The sequence below is a fragment of the Homo sapiens genome, chromosome 1, assembly GCF_000001405.40.
Source record: "Homo sapiens chromosome 1, GRCh38.p14 Primary Assembly".
In the NCBI taxonomy this organism is placed as follows: domain Eukaryota; kingdom Metazoa; phylum Chordata; class Mammalia; order Primates; family Hominidae; genus Homo; species Homo sapiens.
The window spans coordinates 50,016,934-50,043,926 of NC_000001.11; the positions used below are offsets into that span (position 1 = coordinate 50,016,934).

A 26,993-nucleotide genomic window follows, 5' to 3' on the forward strand; every position below is an offset into this window, starting at 1 on the left:
GAGTATATACCCAAAGAAATCTAAATTGTTCTACCATAAAGACACATGCACACATACGTTCATCGCCACACTATTCACAATAGGAAAGACATGGAATCAACCCAAAGCCCATCAACAGTGGACAGGGAAAAGAAAATGTGATATATATATATATACATAAAATAAATCCCCGCTCTACAGAAGCCATCAGCAAATATTTCTTTACACAAGCAACCACATCTATAATTCTCATGATAGCTATCATTTCCAATAACCTGTCTTCTGGACAATGAACAATAATAAATACTATTAATCAATTTTCATCCTTAATAATAATAACGGCCCTAGTAATAAAACTAGGAATAGCCCCCTTTCACTTCTGAGTCCCAGAGAGGACCCAAGGAACTTCTCTAATATCTGGCATACTTCTCCTTACATGACAAAAACTAGCCCCTATCTCGATTATATTTCAAATTTTCCCATCAATAAACATGAACATCCGCCTATCTATCACAATCCTATCCATTATAGTGGGCAGTTGAGGAGGACTCAATCAAATACAACTGCGAAAATCCTAGCCTACTCCTCAATTATTATATACATATATACCACAGAATACTACACATAAAAAAGAAAGCCATATAAAGAAACAAGATCATGTCCTTTGCAGCAACATAGGTGGAGCTGGAGGCCATTATACTAAGGGAATTAACGCAGGAACAGAAAACCAAGTACCGCATGTTCTCACTTATAAGTGGAAGCTAAACACTAATTACACATGGAGACAAAGAAGGGAACAAAAGACACCAAGACCTGCTTTAGGGTAGAGAGGGGCAGGAGGGTGAGGGTTGAAAAACCACCTGTTGGATACTATGCTTATTAGCTGGGTGATGAAATAACCTGTACACCAAACCCCAGCAACATGCAATTTATCCATATAACAAACCTGTGTATGTACCCCATGAGCCTAAAATAAAAGTTGAAATGGAATAAAATAAAAATACAAACATACATAAATACATAAATAAAGTAACACAGCCCATAATAGTAATTTCTTCCACAAAGCCAAGACACAGAGATTCATCTATTACTCCTGAAAGAAAGACAAGCAAACTGTAATTATTGGCAGGTTGTTTTTGATGTCCCTTCCCCAAGAGATTTATTTCTATAATATTTTTCAAAATATTTATTTAGGAATTGACAATCTTATATAAAAGTTTTCAATCCTATATAAAATTTTAGAAGTCTTTTTGTGTTTCATTGCTTTGTTTTCCTTCAGATGACATGAAAGTACACTTTTTTCCAAGTCTGTTTAGAGACTCAAAAGTATACACCCAACAGTTCTTAAATACATATGACAAATAAAAACATCTTCCTTTGAAGTTTTAAAAAAGAGAAATTTGTTTTATGGATCCCATTAAATAAATGAGGAATATAAAAAGCAAAGATTAGCATATTCCAATATGGTGAACACTATCAATGAAGTACTGCAAGCTTTTAAACTTGCAATAATTTTTATAATGAGAAACATCAAATTCATCTAAGAATGAAATTTTTCCTTAAATCTGTATTAAAATTAATACTCCATTGCTGAAATTTAACAACTAATAAAAATACTCTGAAACTCACATAGAACTGTGCTGTTCTTAAATGACTCAAAGAGAAAGCTGTGATTTTATTTAGAATATATATGCAAAATATTCACATCCTCTGACTTTCTTAATATATATAGATCTTTAGTAGCTTTCATTGAAAGTGACACTGAGCCACAATGCTGAAACTGAAGCAAATTACAACATTCACGGATCTCAGAAATACAGACATGATCAAAGAGCCTTAGAAGAAACAAGCACATAAACTTTCTGTCAAAAAATAGTTTTCTGTCTCAATACTTTTGAGATATTAATATTATGTTATAGCTCACTTATAATATAGAAAATCTAAAAGTGAGAAAAATATTTTAAACTTTTGAAAATATTTCCAAAAATGAATAAAATTATGTAAGTCCACATTCCCTTTTCCATAATTCCAAAATCACCAAATATCTAACTTTAGCACCAAAATTAATTTGATAGCAAAATCCAACCCAAATTTATGTGACTCTGTTTATAATTTTTATTCACTTACTGTGAATGTGATATTGATGTGTTTGATTACATCTTACTATCTCACACCCCATTGGGGGTATTATGTAATTGACAGTACATATGCAGTATTGCCTTTCCATAATAAAAAGAAATCTGAGTTCTGAAATATATTTGCATCCATACCTGCCAGATAAGGGACTGCAGACCTGGATTTCCTCTTCTTTTAAAGGTGATTTTCTCCTATGCCTTTAGGAAAAAAAATATTCTCTCTCTCTCTCTCTCTCTCTCTCTCTCTCTCTCTCTCTCTCACACACACACACACACACACACACACACATAAACACACACAGACACCAATTAAGATATCATTTCTCTGGGGGTGTAAGACATTGTATACTTTCCATAACTTATCTCTAATTTTCACCTTAAAAGTAGCTGTTATTATCCCCAGTTAAATACAGGTACTAAAACAAAAAAGGCTTAACTATTACTTTGTCCAACCACTAACACAAGCTATCAAACAATATTCTCATTTCTAAGGCGTTTTACAATTTCAACATTCTGCCCATAATTGGTTTCTGATTCATATAAACCTGCTTTTTAAAATAGACCCATTTATTTCACAGAGAGTGATAAAGGTACGGTCCATTTTAACAGACTGCATCATTTAAAAAAATGTTTGCCTACATGGGCTTCCACAGAATAACTTGACAAAATAGAAAAACAAATTATTTTACCGGGTAACTAAAATAAAAGCTTTTTTAAGATAGCTGGAAGAGAGGGAGAAGAAGCTAAGAAAAAGAAGCAGGTGCAATCTAGCATGAGACTAATACTCCTACATGTAATTAACTGTAAGGTTTTCTTTTTTATTAGTATTGATAATCAAATTTATAGGGAAAAAGTCCTGACATTTGTGTCCCCATTTTAAAGCACAAGATTTAAAAGAAGAAACTTCCTTTTATAAATCTGACCCTCTTACAGAGCTATCTACATGCTCTGTAAGAAGCTTGAATATAAAAAATTTCTAATGTATTGCATATACTTTACATATAAAAGCATGCTTAAGATATCTTAAGTGTCCCTTATTCCTCCAAGAAATTCCTCAAAATCTACCTCACACAGAGACCGGTCCCATGATACACAGTTCAGGTAACAATTCTACATTCTCCAAAACTTAATGTCTGCCTTTCTTCTGACAGCAAAGCAGTGAAAAACCAATGAAGAAAAAACAGAATTTCTTATACTCATCATTGTATGTTTATATAATTTCTTTTATATGTAAAGTATATGCAATACATTTGAAATTTTTTATATTCAAGCTTCAAGTGAACTACGGACATAACATTTATTGGACACTTCAAGTATATGATCTCTAATATTCACAGCTATCCTGCAAATATCATCCCCATTTTACAAATGAGGAAACTGAAGATCATAAAACTTGAGTCCAAGGTCCACATATAATAAGTCACAGTCACAAAAGTAGGGTTTACACAAGGATCTGAGCCCATTTCTTTCCATTTCACCTTGTTAGAATATGCTTAGTTTAGAATATTTCCTGTAAGGCAGGGATTTTCATCATGGCTATGATTTCTTCAGAACGTAGTATGTTGTAATACAAACACAAAGCCAAATAATGAATCTGGGTAACATTTAAATTGTCAAAAAAACTAATCTTCTACTAATTCTTTGCAGATCTTAATTAAGTTGTCAACTTCTCCGTGCCAAAACTTCTCCACATATAAAACATAGAGAATACCTTAAAGAGTTGTTATGAGACTGAAGTAAAATGTATAAAGCACTTAGTACAATGCGTGGTACAAAATAAACACTTCATAAATGTTGGCTATTTCAAGTGAGATTAAGAAATTACCAGATGGCCATATTTTGTATCAGGTGACTCCAGCCAGCAATAGCTGGACACCTAATCTAAAACCAGTCAATCCTGACACTGGACTGTGATTTAGTGGTAAAAGACAATAAGGGTCAATAAAATTATCTCTCTCAGAAATTTGAATTAAACAAAGACTGAGGCATTATTTGCCTAAATGACCTGGCTTTTTACCATCATCAATTTTCTACCATCAATGTTACCAATGACCTCTCTGTTGCTAAATCTAGTTTTTTAGCCCTTCATTTTATATTGTTTGGCAGCATTCAGTCTACTGAGTATTCCATTTATCTTGAAACATTCCTTTAGCTGTGCTCTAATCTCTCCAGTCGCACCTTCTCAGTCTCTTTGGAAGGCATTGAAATATTGCAGCTACTCAACACTTCATCCCAGGCCTCTTCTCCCTCTAGGCAATTTCATCCACACCCATGGCTTGAGTAATTATTTCTATGTCAAAATAATTATCTCTATGCCAGTTTACACTTTTCTTGTAAATTCAACTGCCTTGTCAATCTCTCTGCTTATCTGGATGTCCTAAAGATACCTCAATCTCCACTTATCTAAAACCAAATTAATGATCTTTCCTCTCACACCTACCCAAGGCCCCTTCCAATGCTCCCTATCCCAATAATGGCACCACTAACTATCCAGTTGAACAAATTAGAAAATGAGAAGTAGTCTTCGATACTTCCTTCTCCATCATCCTCATATTTCACTAAGTCCTATTAATTTTATCTCCTAAGTATTTCTCAATTCCTTCTCTTCATCTCCACTGCTACCTTCTAAGGTCTCTCTATATGCATTCTTGTATCCTCTGTACTCTCCTCAATGTAGCTGGTGGAGAGTATATCCTATATCCACTCTTGTATCCTCTGTACTCTCCACATTGTAGCCAGAGTTATTTTTTAATTATTCTAATCATGGCATGCTCCCACTTAAAAGCCTTCAATGGCTTCCCATTATTCTTAGGATTTCTGACCCAAATTCATATCATATTCTACAAAGTACTGGAAGATCTGGCTTCAGCGTACCTCTTCTCTCTTCCCATTGCCCCACATGTACCCACACTTGTCTCCTTTCAGTTCCTCAAACACAGCATAACATGTTTCCACCTGCTTGGGTTCTTTGCACATGGTTTTCCTGCTGCCTCGACCACTCTTTGCCCTTTTTTTCAATTATCCAATCCCTATCATATGTCAGCTAAAATATCACTTCCAGACAATATCAGTAATTCAGTTATTCATTTAAGAAATCTTTATTGAGAACATACTATACACTTAGAAAAGTTCTAGACATGTGGTATTGATAAAACAATGCCCTTGTAGAGCTTACATTGTAGTGGAAGGAGACAGGAAATAAGCAATACAAGCAAGTAAATTAAATAGTATGTTCAAAGGCAATAAATGCTATGAGAAAAAAAGGAAAAGAAGAACAAGGTAAGCTCATCCAAAGCAGGGAATTTCCAATGCCTAACTTATTGCCAGGCATATAGTTAGCACTCGATATTTGTTGAGTGGATGAATGAATAAAGGAATAAGCCTGTTCAAGTTATGAGGGAGCTAAAACTATAAAATGAGTAGAGGAGCTACTCAATAAAACAGAGGTGCCATGAAAGAAAGAGAAATAATGAAGGCCTTGAGACATAATGGTTCCTCGAACTTATTTCTGAGGGTGTCATAGTTTTCAGTTCCAGTTTCTGGGGTGTGGTGTGTATGTACCATAACCACACACACACACACACACACACACACACACACACACACACACACACCAGGACCAAAGTAATTCAAGTGGATCACTCTTGTAATGATAATACCTGATCAGGACATATATACAAGGTTATGTATACCACTGCCAACACCCATCACACACATATTCCCAAAGCCACTTCTTTTCTACCCACACACCCATGCCATCCCGTAACATCCAGTTCTTCAGTGGTCAGCCTCATTTAGAGGCAAACTCCCTCCCACATACTCAAAACTGTAAAAACCTTTGCTTTCTTCTATGACCCTGTGAGAAACTTAAAGTCAGTATCTCACAAATCCCAGCCATATGCACAAGGGGTCCCCTCAGGAATAGGATCCTGGGTCTCCCTTCCTGTCAGTCTTCCTGTCCCTTAAAGGCTATCTTCTACCCACAGAAGTGTGGACATGCACTCCTTTGATTCTGAATGACCTTCAAGATCATTGAACCCACACACACTCACACTCACGCTCCAGCCTCCTTTGGTAGGCTCCTAAAGGACTGGGGCTCCGGGTATCCCCTCAAGGCCTCTTGTCTTTTTAAGGACCCATACAAGAATTATTTGCATAAATTTCTCTGTGACCAGGAGTGACCCTGAGGACACTGCACATCCCCAAACACAAATACTCTAACTCCCCCTTCCATGGCACTGTCTGATATTAAAGTAACACACCTTCCACGTATACCTCCCTCTTTAGAGTCAGAGCCTCCTACTCCCACCCCGAGCCCAAATCATGCCCCTTTAGGGATCTCTCCCATGCTCCCACAGGGCAGTGTACACCCTTTCCATGACACAGCCTAGCCCTAGGATTAGCCTTCACCACAGGTGATCCCAGGATTAAGATCCTGTCTCTTCCCTCAGGTCCCAGCCCCTTTCGGGCCCATGTTCTGTCAGAAGTGTGCACACTAACCCACACTCCCCTCCACCACCCGGACTTCGAGGTCCCTGCCCGCCATTCAGAGGGGTGCACGCCACCCTTGACCCCTGACCCTGAAGTCATAACCCACCGCGCAAATATACAGGACCGCCTCCTCAGGAGTAGGACCATGCCCGAGTCCCCTGTTGCCTGAGACCCAGGACAGCCTGGCCGCCTCAGCCTTCCCCAGATCGGCCGCCCCCACAGACCTGCCTCAGGCGCCGACTGGCTCCCCTCCGCCATTTTTGTTGTCCCTCAGTCTCCGAGCTCACGCGAAGACCGCGGGGCAGTAGGGAGCGGGTGGTGGGATCAGTGGGCTGACAGGAGCTACCTCAGGAAGACGCGGCACGACGGTTGCCTGGGCAACGGGCGGCAGGCGCGCGGGTGGCCGGCGCGCGGCTGAGGGCGGGAGGGACGCCTGGGAGGAGCGTGCGTCCAAGGCCCCGCCCCCGCGGCGCGAGCCCGGGCCTGAGCTGGGACTTGGGCCCCGGGGCGCTGCTCCTCCGCAACCGATCCACCGCATCCTGGCAACTGAGCAGGCTCCGCCACCCCTAGAGCACAGGGGCCAGGTCTGTAGGGATGGCGCTTTCCTGACGGCGACCGGGGTCCTCGTACTGACCGCCCAGACTAGCTAAACTGGCTTTTCTGTGGTTGGTGCTCAACTTTGGGGACTTGGGACAGGTTTCTTGATTTCCCAAAGCTTCTCCCCTTGGTTTGCCTGGGTTACTCGTCTTCAACTGAAATGCACTGAAAACCAACTGTGTGCCCACCCCAACCCAAACACACAGAGGCCCAAAGGGTTCTGGCTCCTTGCCCCTCTGCGACAGCAACCCTCAACCCCAGAAAAGACTTATCCTTTTGCTGACGTATTTTTCAGTAAATATGGGCTGCTGTTTCCCACCTTTCAGTAGTGACACGCCGTTATCGTCTAAAACCAAGCTGGAACATTACCCGTCCTGACCAGCTCTGCCCTCCCGCAGTCCCCTGTATATTCCCTCTATTCCAAATGCTTTATGCATTATTTCCTTCTCGACCATGAGCTCTCTGATACCTACGGTTGTTCTCTTATCTTTGTATACTCCATAGTGCAGCGTGGTGCATGACACAAAGTAGGATCTCAGTCAATGTCTGCTGAATGGAAAATGGTGGTAATCTGAAAGGAAATGAGGTGGAGAGAGTGAAAGAGGGAAGGGGGAAAAACGCTAAGAAAAATGTGTTATTGAGCTGATTGCTTTAGTAGACAACTATTTTTAATCTTGCTTCAGACTCTGAAAAACAGGGTAGAATGTGTGCCTGCCGTTGTCCCACTGAAGAACACAGAGTCTGGGGCATTTGTCTCCTAATTTCTGTCTCCATTGGTTGAGGGTTGCTCTCCACCTTCCAGCTTGAACTCTCTCACATTTCCTGGTTATGCTTGCCAGGGCTGAGCAGACTTCTAGAGTTTGAGAGAAAGCCTTGAGGCAGAAATGCAGAGACGGACCGGAAGGCCTTCTAAGTAAGATGCTGGCCACATGCATGGAACTGTCCATTCATCTGCATTAAAATCAGGGATAAGAATCTTGTACAGAAAGTTACATGAAAATAGCTATCAGAATTATCTCTCACATTTGAACAGTTTAAAATTCACAAGCCATGTCCACACAACTATCAAGATGAATATATATGTGCTTTCCACAGTCCTAATGACACTTATGTAAAGGCTGTGAGGGTTTTGGGAATTTCGGTGTCGGAGGAGTCAATAAGGGCTAAGAAGAACAAAAGAACTACATTAAGTATAGGGAGATGGAAAAATAAAGAGAAAGATGTGGGTTCTACTCAGACTGATGTTATAGCTTTATAATCTTGGGCAAATCACTTAAACTTACTGAGCCTCAGTTTCCTCTTCCAACAAACTGAGACAAAGGTCCTGCCTACCACAAAGAGTAGCTCTAAGACACAAATAGGGTGATGAATGAAAATGCATTTGATGAGTATGAGCCAGGCTCTGTGCAGATGCTGAGGATAAAGAGACAAATATAACATTATTAAATTGAACCACATTGGTCAATTTAAATTTTAAGTAAAATTTAGAACTCAGTTATTTAATCAGAATTGCCACTTTTCAAGTGCTCAATAGCTACATGTGGCTACTGGCTACCATATTGGACAACATATGTATAGAACATTTCCATCACTGCAGAAAGTTTTGTTAGTCAGAATTGATAGACAAATGCCTTACTGGGCAGAGGAGACGAAAAGCCTGGAAAACCAGCTTGCTGACAGGACCAGGTTCGGTTCTCCTCTGTGTCAGCTATTCCTCAGGAAGCAGTGCAGGAGGGAGTATAGACTTCTTCACTACTGCTGGAGTCTTCAGAGACTTCCCTTTTGTTGTGTGAAAAATAACACAGCATGGGAAGTGGGGGGAAAACGTCCCCTACATGGGCTCCTGGGAATTAGTTTCCCCGTGCTACCATTCATATGTCCCTGGGAGGTCTGTCTTCCCCAGAGACCTCCTATGATTTCTGTCTCCACAGAAAACACCCACCCACAACAAGGGTGCCTTCTTTCAAGCAAAATATACCCTGTAGGATTCACCCACTCCCTCCATAAACATTCATTAAAATGATACCTTCCATGTGCCTGGCCACTAAGTTAGATGCAGAATGGAATGAGAGAAATATTTAATTTATAATCATATTTTTACGAGCACAAACTCATTTCATTCTCAGAGCAGCATTATGATATTTGTATTAATATCAGCCTCTTGTACAGAAGATGAAATTGAGGCTCACAGAGTTTAAGTGACTTATACAAAGTTTCAGGCAGAAAGTAGCAGACTCAGGGAAGACTGAAATTATGCTAGGAAATTCATCTGTGTTATCTCATGTAATTTTCACATCAAAAATACCATGCCTTTGAAGTTTACAAACTAATTGGAAAGAAAGGATTAACATGCACAAATTCAGTTTACAATTAATTTCCAAACAATGTGGTAAGAGCAATGACACAGGCATGCTCAGCAAAGTGGAGGAGCACTAAAGAGAGATCCCCTTGATGGGCATCTATAGCCACAGCCCACCAGAAGTATTCAAAATAGCCAATCCTAAATGTTTACTCTGCTCTACCTTGCGATTCTCACAGAAATCCCAATAAAGGCTTTGGCCTAGGATTTCCCCTTGCTCCTGTGTTCTGACACCAAACCAAAACCTGGTGTTTCCCCTGTGACCCTTCATGGCATAAACTTCTTTCCAAGCCTTGTTCTCATTTACTCCTGTGGCCACACCCACTTAATCATACCATATCCAACATTTATATTCTTAGGACATACTTGTTATTCTGCTCTTTAATAAACAGGCTATTGTTGTTTACTCTTTCCATGTAAAATTTTAAATCAGCTTGCCTAATTGCAAAAAAAAAAAAAAGAAAAAAAGAAAAAAGTAATAATGTTGCTGGTATTTTATTAGAATTGTGATAAATTTATAGATTAATTTAGGGAGAAATGACATCTTTATGATACTGAGTCCTTTTATCCAAGTACATGATATATCTTATAATCTGTTTAAGTCTTCTATGTCCTTCAGAAATATTTAACAAATAGTTTTTTTTTTTTTTTTGGAGACATAGTTTCTGTCACTGAGGCTGGAGTGCAGTGGCGCAATCTTGGCTCACTGCAACCTCTGCTTCACCGGTTCAAGTGATTCTCCTGCCTCAGCCTCCTGAGTAGCTGGGACTACAAGCACAGACCACCATGCCACCATGTATTTTGTTTTAGTAGAATCTGGATTTTACCATGTTGGCCAGCTAGTCTCAAACTTCTGACCTCAAGTGATTCGGCCTTCCAAAGTGCTGGGATATGTGTGAGCCACCACACCTGGCCAAAACATTATAATGAGATATTTTATATACATTTTCATACTATGTCTTTAAAATCAGGTTTGTGTTTTACACCCACAGCATGTTTCAATCTGAATTAGCCACCTTTCAAGTGCTCAGAAGACACATATGGCCGGCAGCTACCATACTGGAAAGCACAGGTCTAAACACTCTAATTAAAAGGCAGAGATTGACAGAGTGAATTGGGGGAAAAAATAAGCGAGACCTAATTCTATGCTGTATACAAGAAATTTACTATAAATATAAAGATATATATGGGTTAAAGTAAACAGAAGGAAAAACAGACTTTACAAACACTTATCCAAAGAAGGCTGGATTAATATCAAAGTAGACTTCAGAACAGAATATATTGCTAAAATAGTTAAAGAGGACATTACATAATTATAGAGGTCTTCTCAGCAAGAAGATGTATAACATCATTCTTAATAATGAATTACTGAATGCTTATGGTGTAAGGCCTAAAAATAACACTATATGCTGCCTTCACATCTAGTAAAAACAGGAGGGCCTGGAATTACCTAACCACAAGTTCTCCTCCCCATTCTCCTCACACAGATAAGGTCTCCAAGTCAAACAACACTCCTTATCAAACAGATCAGGTATAGTTCCGATTATCCCTGAGTGGTTTCAGTTCCCTACCAATCCACAGAATTATTCAAACAAGCCAATTAAATCCTCTCATAGGAAACAGGGAAGCACTCAACCCTTTTGAAACTACAAAGCCTGCTTCCTACAGCCACTGATTGTTCACTGTGTTCCTGAGTATAACCTCCATTTGGCCCTTTGATGGTGTACAATGTCATCTTCTCCTGGGCTGTGAGTATATGTGACTAATAAACTGCTCTCAATCTCATCTGTCATGTCAGGTGTCATGTATTCAGCCATTCCCATAACGCCAGGGCAGGAATTTCCCCTCACCAATGGGGTGAATGGAAAGTAATTAAACAAGTAATTAATGCTTTCCTCTATAAATCAGGAAGAAGAGAAGGATGTCCACTGTCAACACTTTTATTTAATATTGCACTGGAAGTCCTAGCCAGTAGAATAAGACAAAAATAAAATTCAGATAGACTGAGAAGGAAAATATAAAAATGTCTATATTTACAAAAGACATGATTGTTTGTATACTTAGAAAATCCAAAGGAATGTACAAAAAGCTACTAGAACTAATAAGCGAGTTTTCTATATGCACGTCAATTGCATTTCTATATACTAACAAAAAAACTTCAGGTTAAGAAAATAATACTATTTACAACATAAAAATAAAAGTACAGATAAATTTAACAAAATATGTGCTAGACTTGTACAGTGAAAACTATAAACTATTTTTGAAAGAAATTAAAGAAGACCTAAATAAATGAAGATATACACCATGTTCATGGATCAGAAAACAATATTGTTAAGATGTCAATTCTCCTGAAACTTATCTATAAGCTCCACTATCCAATAAATATCCAATAGCTACATGTAGCTATTTAACTTTATATTAATTAAAATTAAATTAAAATTAAAGTTCTTTGGTCAAACTAGCCAAATTACAAGTTTTTAATAGCCATATATGGCTAGTGGCTACCACATTAAACAAAGCAGATAAAGAATAGTTCTCAGCTGGGCACAATGGCTCACACCTGTAATCCCAGCACTTTGGGAGGCCAAAGCAGGTGGACTGCTTGAGCTCAGGAGTTCAAGACCAGGCTGGCCAACATGGCAAAACCCCATTTCTACTAAAAATGCAAAAATTAGCCAAACATGGTGGTGCATGCCTGTGGTCCCAGCTACTCAGGAGGTTGAGGTGGGGGGATCATGAGCCCAGGAGGCAGAGGCTGCAGTGCAATGAGCCAAGATCATGCCACTGCACCCCAGCATGGGCAACAGAGTGAGACCATCTCAAAATAAATAAATTAATTTAATTTAATTTTTAAAAAAAGAATAGTTCCATAATCACCAAAAGTTTCATTGGACAATAGCAATTTATAAATTCAATGCACTCTCCATCAAAATCCCAGTCATTAAATAAATTTTATAATTAAAAATGACAAGCTAATTTTAAAATTTATATATAAATAAAGGAACTAGAAGAGCCAAAACATTTTGTAAAAGAAAAACGTACTAGGCTAGGTGCCTTGGTTGCTCATGTCTGTAATCCCAGAACTTTGGGAGGGCGAGGTGGGTGGATCACTTAAGGTCAGGAGTTCAAAACCAGCCTGGCCAACATGGTGAAACTCATCTCTACTAAAAGTACAAAAATTAGCCAGGCATGGCGGCCAGTGCCTATAATCCCAGCTACTTGGGAGGCTGAAGCAGGATTGCTTGAACCCGGGCAGCAGAGGTTGCAGTGAGCCAAGATCACACCACTGCACTCCAGCCTGGGCAACAGAGCAAGACTCCATCTCAAAAGAAAGAAAAACATACTTAATAATAAATTACTAAATTGAAGGACTTACACTACTTGGTTTCAAGGTTTACTATAATGCTACAATAATAAAAACAGCATCTGATTTGCATAATCACATAACATACAGCATATAGACATATTTTATAGATCAATACAACAGAATAGCATCCAGAAAAAGGTTATACATGTATGGTACATTGATTTTTTTTGACAAAAGAGCTAGGGTAATCAATGGGGAAAGACAGCTTTTTAAACAAATGGTAGTAGAGCAATTGGTTATCTATATGCAAAAGTAACATGAACTTGGACCAATACCTTTACCATATGCAAATATAAACTTGAAGTGGATCATAGACCTAAAACTAGAATAAAAACTGTAAAACTTTTAGAAGAAAGCATCAACAAACATTTTTGTGACCTTGATTAGGCAGAGTTCATAGGACACAAAAAGCGTAACCATAGAAAAAATTGATAAATCAGACCTCATCAAAATTAAAAATTTCTGCTGTTCAACTCAGTATTAAGAAGACAAAGACCAACAACCCAATTATGGACAAAATGGTTGAACAAGAAGATATGCAAATGGATGATAAGCATGTGAAAAGATGTTCAATATCATTAGTCATTAGGAAAATGCAAGTTAAAATCACAATGAGATACCACTACCAAACACTATAATGGTTAAAATTTCAAAGACTAAGAATACCAAATATTAGTAAGGATGCAGAGCAACTAAAACTCTCATATATTGCTGGTGAAAATGCAAACTTGCACAGTTACTTTGGAAAACAGTTTGGCAATTTTTTTTTTTTTTTTTTTTTTGAGACAGAGTCTTGCTCTGTCAGCCAGGCTGGAGTACAGTGGCACAATTTCAGCTCACTGCAACCTCCACCTCCCAGGCTCAAGCAATTCTCCTGCCTCAGCCTCCTTAGTAGCTGGGATTACAGGCATGTGCCACTCACATGCCCAGCTAGTTTTTGTATTTTTAGTAGAGACGGGGTTTCACCATGTTGGCCAGGCTGGTCTCGAACTCCTGACCTCAGGTAATCCTCCCACCTCGGCCTCCCAAAGTGCGGGGATTACAGGCATGAGCCACCATTCCCGGCCAGCAATTTCTTATAAAGTTAAACATACTCTTATGACCTAAAAATTCTACTCCTAATTATGTACTCAAGACACTAAAACCAAGTTGCTGATATAAACATGAGCTAAATAAAAGTGGTAAATCCAGCTACCAAGAAAAATAGAAGTGAGGCTGTTGGCCTAACAAGGAAAGGAAGAAAACTTGCAACAGATGGAGACTGTATCTTGGAGCAATAAAGAACTAAGGAGCAGGTATTTTATTAACTTTTTTCCCAGACCATATGACTATCTTCAGTGGTCTCCCAGCAATGTTTAGAGGCATAGGAAATTATTTTCATGTTATGGACTGAATGTTTATGTTCCCCAAAAATTTATATGTTGAAGCTTTCAATGTGATAGCATTTGGAGTTGGAGACTTTGGGAAGTAATTAGGTCATGAAGGTGGAGCCCTCAAGAAGAATAGTACCCTTACAAGGAGAGGCCAGAGAGCTAGCTAGCTATCTTTCTACCATGTGAGGATACAGTGAGAAGTTAGCAGTCTGCAGCCTGGAAGAGGTCTTCAACAAAAGCCAGCCACACCTTCACCTTGATCTTGGAATTCCAGCATTCAGAACTGTGAGAAATAAATTTCCGTTGTATATAAGCCACCAGTTAATATTATTTCTTATAGCAGCCTGAGCGAAAACACTTCATATAGAGAGAAGATCTGGGAAGCACATATCAAATATTAAAAAGAAAAAATTTAAAGATGAGCATGAGTGAACATAGCTAAGTTAATGAGGAGGGTCTCCTTGATTACATGAACACATATAAATGCTGGATAAAATACTAAAATTTTAAAACATGGCTTAATTCAAAAGAAAGGAAAATATTCTGAAGTTAGAAGGAAGCTTGAAAAGATCATGCTCTTCATTAATACATTCCATTACCTCCCAGCCTTCCCCATACCAAGCTCTCAGATTATATCGATAACTTAAAGGCAGCCTAACTTAATGGGCAGAGTATTTTCTCGATGATGGCTGAGTATCTGGATGAGTCAGACTTGATACTGGCTTGAAGAAACTCACAGCCTAGGGAAAGAGACATTGTAGCAATTTAAAAATGGAGAAACCTCTCCCCTTACTAGCTCCTGTCTCTCAATCATGGTAACTCATGCCATCAAAGAGAATTTAACTGGCACTGACACCACTCTTTCTGGGTAACAAAGTGGAAGAGCCACTGACAGCTGGTTTAGTGGGTTTGAAAAATAAACCAAGCTCAGGAGAGTACCAACAGCTTCCTAGCACAACAATATTATACTAGGGGCTACTCTTCTGAAAGGAGCAAAGCTAAATGCGACTGATAGAAAGGAAATGCTGTCCTTACTAAATTTTTTATTGTCTCCAAGAAATATGAATGCCCAACCCACTGTCTTGGTGAAATGTGATAACTTCTTAGGAAGCAAATGAGGAAATCAACAGTGATTCATTGATCTTATAATGGCTGAGAAGGGTAGTAATCGATGGAAAATTGACCCAAACCAGGTATACTGAAAAGGTCAGAGAGGCAGACTGTCCTCCTTTAGAGATGAAGAGCACAGTTCCTAAAGGAGGGAATGAGAACATGGCCCTCAGGGATCTGGAAGGAGATGGAGTTAAAGAAGAAAGGTCAGGTAAATTGAGAAGGGAAAGAGGTCCCAAGGATGGAAATCCTCACAGAGGCCACTCTCTTTTTAAAGGCCCAAATCTGAAAACTTCCCCTTTTCCATTAGATAGACTGCTGAAAATAGATGGGCTGCATTCTGTGTTTCTGCCACTCCTTGCTAAAGATAACTCCTTAAAGAACTTTGTAAACTTCACATAATTCTTCATTTGGATGAGATTAGCAGGACAATGTAGTTCAAGAAGGGCCAGACCTCATTGACCTCTTAGTATCTAGGGACTTAGTGAACATGGGGCTAGCAAAGGCATTATGGCCATATGTAAATTTTTTAATGGGTATATTACACCAGATACTGTTTATGCCTTAGTTTCATAACTTAATGTTAATTCATAAGAATTTCTTCATGTCATGAAGTATTCTTTGAAAACATTACTCCTGTTGCTATAAAATCATCATAAACGTGCATCATAACTAATTAAAGCATTCCCTTCTTGGATATTTGAGTCCTACTTTTTTCTGTTATAAATAATGCTGCAGTGAACATCTTTGTATACCTTTTGTCATCATTTCATCACTTTCTTGGTTTGGATTTCTATACATGAGGTCACTGGGTAAGGGGTATGAAGCGTACAAGGCTCTTGAAATGTATTGACAAATTGTCCTCCCCAAAGACCTCATCCCTTTATGTTCCCACTGTCGAGTATGCAAGTACCTGTCACATGATACCTTTGTCAACATTGTGCCTGTGATATTACAGGGGAAAATGTTTTATCCAATTAGCCAGGACACATGACTTGAACTTAACCATCTGCCCAAATGAAATTTGAGAAGTTTGGTTTAAACATGGAAACATGGAAAAGCTAATTGTACTTCTCACAGATGTGGCACCAGCAGAAAAAGGGAAAAATTGTTTTCAACATTTTATTTCCATCAGGAGAGAGGGCTTATGAACCCCAGGCTTCATTTTTCTTTCTGGAAAAGAGTATGTGGTATGAACTAGGTATGCTAGATCTCTATGGTTAACTGGAGAAACAGATAAAGATCTCCATTTCTCTTCATGCTCATGCCCTTAACTGGTACTTATTTACAGGGTATTTGGAAGAAGACAACATAGGGCATGTAAGCCTAGTCTATTTTAATGGCATCAGATGTTTTGATTCTTTAAATTTATTGAAGGATTAAAAGAGTTGGAGCTAAGAGGCTCTGAACACTCATTTTGCTACATCCCCAAGTATCATTAAAATTTGACTTTCTTACTGATGTAACAAAATATTTAAACACACTGAGATTGAAATTCTAGGGAATAAAACAAGGCTGTTGCTGGCTTGTTCAAGGAAGTGAAGACATTTAGACTGAACAGGAGGCCATAGAACCTCATTCATTCCAAATTTTAGAGTATTAGAGTTCCATCGTGGAAACGGAATGACCATTTCAGAAGAGATTCATAGATCATGATGTCAGTGAACCTAAATTTTCAGAATTGCTCTTGGAGTGCAGACCTTAGGATGTGACCAAATATATATATAAGTATCTCCTCTATTAGTTTTGTTTGTTTGTTTGTTTTTTGTTTATTTCTTTGTTTTTTTGAGATGGAGTCTCACTCTTTGCCCAGGCTGGAGTAAGTGGCACCATCTCAGCTCACTGCAACCTCCACCTCCTGGGTTCAAGCAATTCTCCTGCCTCAGTCTCCCGAGTAGCTGGGATTACAGGCATCTGCCACCATGCCGAGCTAATTTTTTTGTATTTTTAGTAAAGACAGGGTTTCGCCATGTTGGTCAGGCTGGTCTCAAACTCCTGACCTCAGGTGATCCACCCGCTTTGGCCTCCCAAAGTGCTAGGATTACAGGTGTGAGCCACCATGCCCAGCCTCCTCTATTAGTTTTAAGAGGAGATGATTGATATAAAAGTTAACTATGTCCAGTAGAGTCATAGTATCCCTGAAATCATGTAGGCAAGTATATAAATCCCAGAACTACATGGACATTTATGGCTATGTAATGAAACACTAGGCCATAATTTTCTTTATAAAACAAGCAAAAAGCAGAATATCACAAATAGGGATATAAATCTAGAATTAGAATTTAGGTGTTCTCTGATTTAATATACACAACAGTTTTAAAGAATAGTTTAGCCTTCTAAAAACATATATCCTCACAAAATAGATCAATGACAAATACTATGCCTAAAACTATATGCCTTTTTCCTAGTAATAAATGTAATTAATTTTTATAAAACCTTCATATGACATCTTAATTCCACATTTTTGAACAGCCTAAAGGTTTCACTTTCCATCACTGTATTTAAAAGTATGATACACATAGATAACGTTCTATTATAGGCATTATATAGGTTTGGAGAGCAATAAGTCTAGTTACAAATCCTGGCTCCATCACCCCATAAAGTTCTCTCCTTGACCTTTAAGAACCTACATAACGTGGAGAGGTCTGTCTTTGTGGTCTCACCTCCTACCACGTTCTTCCCCACTCATGATGCTTCAGCCCCATAGGCCTCCTTTGGTTCCTCAAGCACCTCAAGCTAGCTTCCCCCTTCACAACCTTCAGTGTTCTCTCTGCTTGAGCTACTCTCCCCTCACATCTTCACATCACTTGCTCTCTCACTTCATTCAGGCCTCTTTTCAAATGTCATCTCCTCAGAGAACCCTTCTCTGTCCATTCAATCAAAATAGCTCCCACCCTCGGTTACTCACAATCTCACTACTCTGTTTTTCTTTACTGTCTAAAATCATAAATTCTATTTAATCATTTATCCACGTATTCATTGACTTTCTTTCCAATAGTAAGCTCTGTGAGAACAGGAACCTTACCTATTTTGTGCCCTGATACATCTTCCATAGCTAAAACAACTTCTGATACATAGTGAGTGAATACTTTATAAATATTTTTAATGAATGGTTGAATAAATGAATGAACAAGAAATGATATGGGTCGGGTGCGGTGGCTCATGCCTGTAATCCCAGCATTTGGGGAGGCCGAGGTGGGTGGATCATTTGAGGTCAGGAGTTTGAGACAATCTGGCCAACATGGTGAAACCCCATCTCTACTAAAAATTCAAAAATTAGCCAGGCGTGGTGTCGGGCTCCTGTAATCTCAGCTACTCGGGAGGCTGAGGCAGGAGAATCGCTCAAACTGAGGAGGTGAAGGTTGCAATGAGCTGAGATCACGCCACTGCACTCCAGCCTGGGCGACAGAGGGAGGCTCTGTCTCAAAAAAAAAAAAAAAAGGCATGATAGGTCCATGTACAGATAATTGGAGAGTACAAAAAAAGATCACCTAATTTAAACTTTCAGTTGAAACAGAGTGTAACCAAAGGAGATTTCCCAGAGGAAGGTAAAATGTGAGCTGAATTTTAAAGGATCATCAGAAGAAAATGAGGATCCTAGGTCAAAGAAACAGACATGTAAGGATAGAGGTAAGAAAACACAGCTTAAATACTAACTGCAGGTGATCTGAAATGACTTGACAATAAGTTAAACAGTAGAAAATGGCTTCTCTGTGGGTGGAGAAGTTGAGTATAGTCCTAGAAGCTCTATAAATAATTTGAATACCAAAAGTGGTAAAAACATTGTATTTCTAAAGCCCCCAGAGATGACCAAAATCATGTGGACTTTCTTTCTAACACAGTTTACAGCAAAACAGGAAGTTTAAAATAACATTTATTGGGGAACTTCTCATCTTCAAAATCCTCTGCATGTGCCCTGTTCACCTCCCTCTCATACACGCTCTCCAACTAAGATCTGGCAGAAACTCAGGCCAGTTACCCTTTAAGACATCCAACAAGATCCATAATTATAAGCCAGCTTCTCTGATGGGATTAGAGACAGATTCTGTATGGTGAGTTCATCTCACAGTAGCTGTATTTAATAATATCCAGTAATTGCTACTGTTACCACCTGTGTCTTGGCAGATGTTTTAAGTGGTAATCTCCTCCCATCCCTCACCCCTCTCACATGCCACACAATAAACTGATTGTCAGGGATACGATTTCTCATATGTATATTTTTAATGCTGCTACAATTGCCAACTTAACAGCCACATGTCTTCTGAACTTGCCGGCTGGGGCGGGGGAAGGGTATATGTTGCTTTGCAGCAGGTAAAATGGTCCAAACAAAAAACTATATCCCTGCCCAAGTAGTCTGTTATCCAAAAGCAAGAGTAGGCAAGCTTCAGAACGTAGCAGAACAACACCCACACAATACAGGCAGATGGAGTGGCGTATGGCCACCACAGCTGGAAGACTTTGTGAATGATGCCCAAACCATTGCTAGTCTTTGAACACTTCCCCAGTTCAAAGTATAGAACACCATCTATTATCAACAAACTCCTAAAAGCTAAATGAGATGTTTAAGGTGTTCTTCAGTAGAGGTCATATTCCTAAGTGTGCAGACCTAAAATAGAACGCTTTCTGACAAAAAGTAAACTATTGCCCCTTCACAATACCATCCACCCTCAATGGTAACACATTCTGTACCCTTGTTGTCAGAGGCAAGCACCATTTACTGACTTTTTGTGATACGATGCCATTAACCAGTGCTTAAATGGATACTTTAGATCAATGTTTTGGGTGGGCAAACAATGGAAAAGGGTGTAGCAATTACTCTCTTGCCTTATATTGACCAACCATTAAAGCCTGGTACTGTTATTGCCTATTTTGTTGCTAATGTTTAGGAGCAGTAGAAAGGTAAATGGGATATGGTGGAAAGATCATTGGAACTAGGGAGATAAGCTGTAAAATTCTTATCAAGCCACCTCATCTTTCTAAGCTCCACTTTTCTTTGCTATAAAGTGGGAATAAATAGTTGTATCTACTTCACTAGACTATTTTAAAAATTAAGTAAGATAGTATAGGATCATCCAAATGTTAGAACTTATTATGTAACATCCGTTGTTTCTGTGTTCTTCTAAATTTCTGAGGAAGCTCTTAAATGACCCTATAAGCATTTTTATTTGTTGAGCTTTTTAAAATATGAATTTCCATTTTTAGAATAGTTTTAGATTTACAGAAAAATTAAGAAGATAGTATAGAGTATCCACACACCTCACACACCGTTTCACCTATTACTAACATCTTATATTAGTATGGTATCAATTTGTTACAATTAACCAGCTAATATTGACGAATTATTATTAATTTAAGTCTCAATTTTATCACATTTTCTTAGTTTTATCTAGCATCCTTTTTCTTTTCCAAGATCTCATGCAAGATACCACAGTCAACCTTAAATAACTAGATTCAGAAAATATGATTAAGGATAGAGTTTACTTGAACACAAATATTAAAGGTGGTCATGTGGAAACATTGACTCCAAATGAATGGGGTCAGGTTCCCAGGTGAAGAAGTTGAGGTTTCACTTAATAGGCAAAGGCAGAGAAATTTTAGCAGGATTACATTTTCCCCATAGATCAGTGCATATATTACAGCAATTTGATTGGTTACAGACTGCTACATTCCGAGGAAGCTTTTTACTTCAGAAGGAGGGGCAATGATCTGAGGGATTCTTATCTCTGGTGCTGTTTGGTCTTAACTTTTTTTTTTTTTTTTTGAGACAGAGTCCCGCTCTGTCACCCAGGCTGGAGTGCGATGGTGTGATCATGGCTCACTGCAACCTCCACCTCCCCGATTCAAGCGGATTCTCTTGCCTCAGCCTCCTGAGTAGCTGGTACTACAGGCACGTGCCAACACACTCAGCTAATTTTTATATTTTTAGTAGAAATGGGGTTTCACCATGTTGGCCAGGCTGGTCTCAAACTCTTGACCTCATGATCTGCCCACCTTGGCCTTCCAAAGTGCTGGGATTACAGTCGTGGGCTACTGTGCCCAGCCTGGTCTTAACTATTTACGGGGGAAAAAAAGCAGAAGTTGCTACTTCATGCCATGTGACTCAGGCTGCAGAGCCACATCCCTCTCAAGGGTCAGAATAATTTAAAGTTTCAACAGTTTTAAGTTTGAATTATTCTATTTCACACCACATTACATTTAGCTGACATGTCTCCGTAGGCTATTTTTGCTTGTGATATTTTCTCTGACTTCCCTTGTTTTTGATGACATTGACAGATTTAGGGAGTACTGCTCAAGTATTTTGTAAGACGCCCCTCTAATGGACTTTGATGTTTCTCTCAAGATTACGCTGGGGATATGGGTTTGGGGAAGGAAGATTACAGAGGTAAAGTGTCATTTTTATCACATCAAATGAAGGGCACATACTATCAACATGATTTATGACTGTTGCTATTGACCTTGATTACCTGGTTGAGGTAGTATTTTTCAGGTTTCTCTAGTGTAAAGTTACCTCTTTCCATATTACATTCTTTGGAGAAAGTCACAATTTGCAGCTCACAATTAAGGAATGAGAAGTTATGCTCCCTGTATCTGGTTTTGTTTTTATCAAACAAAAGTAGCATTTCCATGGGGCAGAACTTGCCCACTTGCAATAGAGAGAATATTGGGGCTAAATGATATTTCTAAAGAGTTGGTATAAACTCACTCTTTTTTTAGAAGAAAAACTATAGTAAGAGGAGTTTTCTATTCCTTGCCTTGAAGATCATAAGTTTCCACTTTTTCTTTAAGATAATTTTTATCTTGAAGGAAAAAAAAGTTTATTTGTTAGGTTTGCCATTGAATGCTTGAGGGGGCCTGTCTTCTTCGTATACTATTGTCTTTTCCTTCTTTTTACTTTCTTACCAGCATCTTCTCTAAAAAGAGAGCTCATACATTCATTTCTTCTTGTAGAACTTTCCACCATACTACTTCAAGTATGTTGTCTGTATAATTTTCTGAGAGAAAAAAAATTAGAATCCAAAGCTTCTCTCTGAGGGAATATTACCTTTGAAGTTCAAGGAGGCATCAGAATCAAAGCGAAATCTACAATTTATTTCCTTAGGACAAATTCTGGGAAGATAAAACTAACAAGATACAAAAGGAAAAATCTGTTTCAAACTGATAATAAATATGCTGTGATAAGTAGACAAAAGAAAACATGAGGAAGTCATGAAAAAAGTTACTTTGTTTACAACGTTGGATTTCCCAAACCCCAGCAATATGGGCAGCCAAAATCACTGAATCTTTGTATCTCAAACTTTCCTAAGGAAACTTCAATTTTCAGAATACTAGTCTCTGAGGCAGAATAAAAACACAATAAACATACAAATACACACAGTGAAATCTGACACAAGAAATTTAGATAAATTAAACTAAGTCATCAATATTTTGTTTTAAAAGAAAGCTGTGTAGCAGTAAGCAACATTTTTTCTAACGATAGTCACGTGGATACACAGTTCTTGTCTCTTCTCTATCAAAAACATACCCATATCCGGGAGAGAAATTTAGCACTTGGCTAACAAACCATTGAGACAATTTCTTTTTTAACAACAAAAACAAAACAAAACAAAAACAAAAACCCACCAAGATTAACAGCTTCTTTAGTCAAAGGCAATACAGCATAGAGGATCAATTATTACTTTTGGAACTAGAAAGATTGGATTTAAATTATAGCCTCTCCACTTACTAGCTATATGGTCCTAGATTACTTATTTAACCTCCCTGAATCTCAGATTCCTTATCTGTGAAGTAGACACATTAGTGCCTACCTTGTGTGTCCTTATTACAATTAGAGATAAGGTAGTTGGAAACGTAGCAAACAGCCTAATTGAAACATAGCAGGCTCTGAATTAGAGAAAGAGATGATGCTATCCCTGTCTTCACTGGGTTAATAAGCTAATAGAAGAAATAGAGATTAACCAAGGAATAGCAAAAATAAATGTAAAATTATCAAAATAATAAATTATACAAAGTGACTCAGAATTATTGAGGTATCATGGGAACTACATGGCTGGGAAAAGAAGTGTCTATTCTGTCATGGTCAATGGTAGTTCCATAAATTTTCTTTGTTTTTAGATTTACCTTGATTTTAAAAATTATAATGTTCAAACAGCTAAGGAACAGATAAGCTGTGAGATATAAATCACAATTTCACTAATTGAATGTATTTTCTCACTTTCTCCCAGCTTTTTTCCTTGGAAACACTGGGAAGGGACATAAGGTGGCATGAGAGAACACTAGATCCCTGTATACTCCTCCTGGAGATCCCACCATTATGGGTTAAAAATAGAAGCTGTTGAATTGGTGAACTGGATGTAGTTAAAGCCCCACTGTAATTAGTGCAGGAGCCCCACAGATTGTTAATGAGGCTGTTTGAATTAGCACCTGCTCCTGCAAGGGTCCGTTTTGAGCCGGTTGGCAATCAGGTCCCTTGGGTCAGTAAGAGGGAAATGGGAGTGGAGGGGGTGGAGTCCCTGGGCTGTCTTGTAGGTGTTTCTGAGAGTCTCTGAATCAATTTTATTTTCTGTTTATTTTACTACGTGCAAAAGGCTGGGCCAGATGTTAAAGGATATGTAAAGGTGAAAGACACACCGCTTGCCCCCCAAGAACTCACACAGAGGGGCAAGACATTTACACAAGGAACAAGTCTCCAAAGCATCTATGAAGCAACGCAGTTCAGCAAGAGAACTCTGACCTGGGAGTGAATCATGGTCCTTCTACTTTCTAGCTGTGTGATTTTGCAAAGTTGTGTAATCTTTCAAAGCCTCAGTTTCCTTATCTGTAAAATCAGGATTATTGGATATTTATGAGGAATAAATGATAGCCATGAGTAAAGTGGGCAGTATATCACTGGGTGAATAATAGGTATTCAGTAATTAAACTGACTTCAAAACCAAATAAATGCAAAAAGTGCAAAGAAATACCAATGAAATGCTTTGGAACTCCAATGGAGGAAGGTGTCATATCAGGAAAAACTTTTTGGAAGTGGTATGTGAGATGAACCTTATAGCAGTTGTCTGATTTTAAAAGGAGGCAATGTAGTTGGGGAAAAAGATTCCCAGGGACAGATGGCATAAGCAAAGGCATGAAGGCAGGAAAATCCGTGACACTCCAACTAGTAGATGTGTTTTTTGCTTAAGTTGTAGTTACATAGACCATAAGTCAGTCTCCAACCTCAAAAAGCTCATAGTCTAGTGGGGAGACAGACACACAAACTGAAATTGACAAAGCAATGTGACAGCAGTTGTGATAGAGGACTGCAAATGTGCTGTGGGAATCCAGAGGAGGCCCACTTGGATCAGCTGGGCTAGTGCTGACCAGGTGGTATATCAGAAGATGAAGAGGGTGTGCTGAGATTCTAGAGGATGATAGAGAAAATGCTGGGCACATGGCCCATGCTCAGTAGAAGTGCCAGGCATAACATCATGCTAGGCACACAGGATGGGACCTAGGAGTTGAGAAACACGATGAGAACGAAAACTGGGTTGGTAGCACTAAAAGGGTAAGAACAGTGACCAGGGAAGAAGCAGGAATATGAGAGAAAAATGGCTGAATTCTAGAGCTTGAGGGTGGAGCCATTTAGTACTATAATGAAGCCTGAGATCAGCTGTGAACCTAGGTGGCTGAAATTGAGGAGAAGGGAGACACTGGAGATTAAGAGCTCAAAGATTACGGGGAGTAAGCAACTTGAAATATCACTGTTGTCTGATGATGACCCAGAAGGCAGAGATAGAAGGAAGCCTATGTGGAAAAAAAAAAATCAATAAGCCAAGTCTAAAAATCACTCCGAAAGAAGGAATTGTGTCCTGAAGGGCAATAGATGGCTTTGGTATTTGAAATGTGCTAGCTACTTACTGCTGAGCACCAGTTTTATGCCAGGCACTTTAGACTCATTATGGTATCTTCAGTTGTGTTGGTTAGGATATTGGTTAGGTTGCTGTGAAAGGAAGGTCCAAAATAACCATGACCAAAGTAAGATAGAAGCTTATTCCTCTGTCATGTAAAAGTCTGGGTATGTGGTCCATGGCTGCTATGACAACACATAATCATCAAGGTTTCAGAGGCTTTCTGTTTTGTTGTCCTGCCAATTTCTATCTCAGCTCCCACCATTACAGCTCCATGACATCTGCATTCCTGATAGTTGGAAAGGGCAGTAGATAGCATGGCCCAGAATCACTAAGAGTGACCAACATTCAAAGGTAGGAGGATGAGATTCCCCTCCTGGTAAGGGAGTGACAAGGTCACAATGCTGAAGAGCAGGTGGGTAGGAATATACATTAACCAGCTAATAAAGCAAGTTCTCTGTGAATGCCATTTTTTCATCTACCAGTATCCACAGAACAAATACTTTTTAAAAGTACGTATTTCCTTCTCCATTCTAAAAGGATTTAAGGGATACGTGTTAGAGTAGAAATGCCAGTAAAATGAAATAGTACTCAGAGATTTTGGTTGTCAGCATGTTGGAAATGCCCAGTGAACGGTAGCCATAGCCAACTGGGTTCTATTTGTGGATCTGCTTCTCACAAGCTGTGTGAATTTGAGCAGATCACTGAGCTTCTTTAGACCTGACTTTCCTCACCAGTAAAATGAGAAGGATAATATCAATAATTTCTAAGGTCCTTTCCAGCACTAAAACCTACATGAAGACTGAGTACTCTTTCTCTTATTTCCTGCTATCATGATTGGCCGAGTTATTGTCAACTACTAAGCAATTAATCGTCTAGTCTATTAAGTGCAAACGACAACTGTTAAGGAGCAACTAAGAATAGTTAAAACTGTGAGAGCAAAGGCTCTAATCAAATGTTTCTGAACATATGCTCATGGGCTTACTTGAGAATAGCACTTATTCATTGTTTGCATTAAAATCTCATGTGATGAAATATTAGAGATTGCACAAATTTTGTTGTATCCATAATAGTCAATAAAAGTATTATACAATGTAGCTTTACTATGAAAGTAGAATACATTTATTTCACAGCTATGTAAAGTAGATATTTTTAAAAAGTACCTCATCAAGCTTTGATGTTCAGCTTTTCTAACTCCTGCTTCCTTAAAATTCAATACTGGAATCGTTTTGGTTCCCACCCCACCCCTGACCCGCTCAGAACTATCCCAGTAACCACCCTCCACCCACCCCCACATATACACATACACACAGCCAAGCTGCTTTGGATGCTCCTGCTCTGCACTCTAGAAGTCCCTCTTGCTTCTTTCTGTGTTGGTACTTGTTACACTGTATTGTCATTGTCTGTCATTTCCTCACCTACAGTCTCCTCAAGCTGTGATCATCTCGAGAACAGAAGACAACTCTACCACCAGGGGTTAGAGTGAAGCGTGGACATACTAGGTGCTCAATGAATTCTTGATAAATGACTACGGTTCCTTTGTTCCCCTTAGGAGATGTTGAAATGAATACAAGCCATGTTCTATCTTATGTCAAGTTCCCAAATTCTTCAAATATCCATAATTTCACATAAGCCAATTCTTATGTTGGTGTGCATAGTTGGAGTTTGTTTTGAATGTGCCCAATGCAGAGGTGAAAGCGG

General features: G+C 38.8%; 1 protein-coding gene, 1 long non-coding RNA gene and 1 pseudogene across 11 annotated transcripts in view; 2 read left to right on the forward strand and 1 right to left on the reverse strand.

The window, feature by feature from the left end:
• The window catches only part of AGBL4 (AGBL carboxypeptidase 4), a 1,501,444-nt gene extending 1,494,423 nt beyond the window's left edge, over positions 1-7,021 (reverse strand). For all 10 annotated transcript variants that reach the window (NR_136623.2, XM_017002595.3, NM_001323575.2 and 7 more), the window contains exon 1: positions 6,830-7,021. Coding sequence is in view for 9 of the 10 variants with exons in the window: in XM_017002595.3 (XP_016858084.1) it covers positions 6,830-6,863 (34 nt within the window). In the remaining variant the exon portion in view is untranslated. The remainder of the gene's footprint in view (positions 1-6,829) is intronic.
• Positions 153-571, forward strand: MTND2P29 (MT-ND2 pseudogene 29; annotated as a pseudogene).
• A 66-nt stretch (positions 7,022-7,087) lies between the features above and the next one.
• Positions 7,088-24,282, forward strand: LOC105378708 (uncharacterized). The gene is made up of 3 exons (XR_947311.3): positions 7,088-7,189; positions 18,920-19,041; positions 23,997-24,282. It is a non-coding gene; the product is annotated as an uncharacterized LOC105378708 (long non-coding RNA).
• The last annotated feature ends 2,711 nt before the right edge of the window (positions 24,283-26,993 follow it).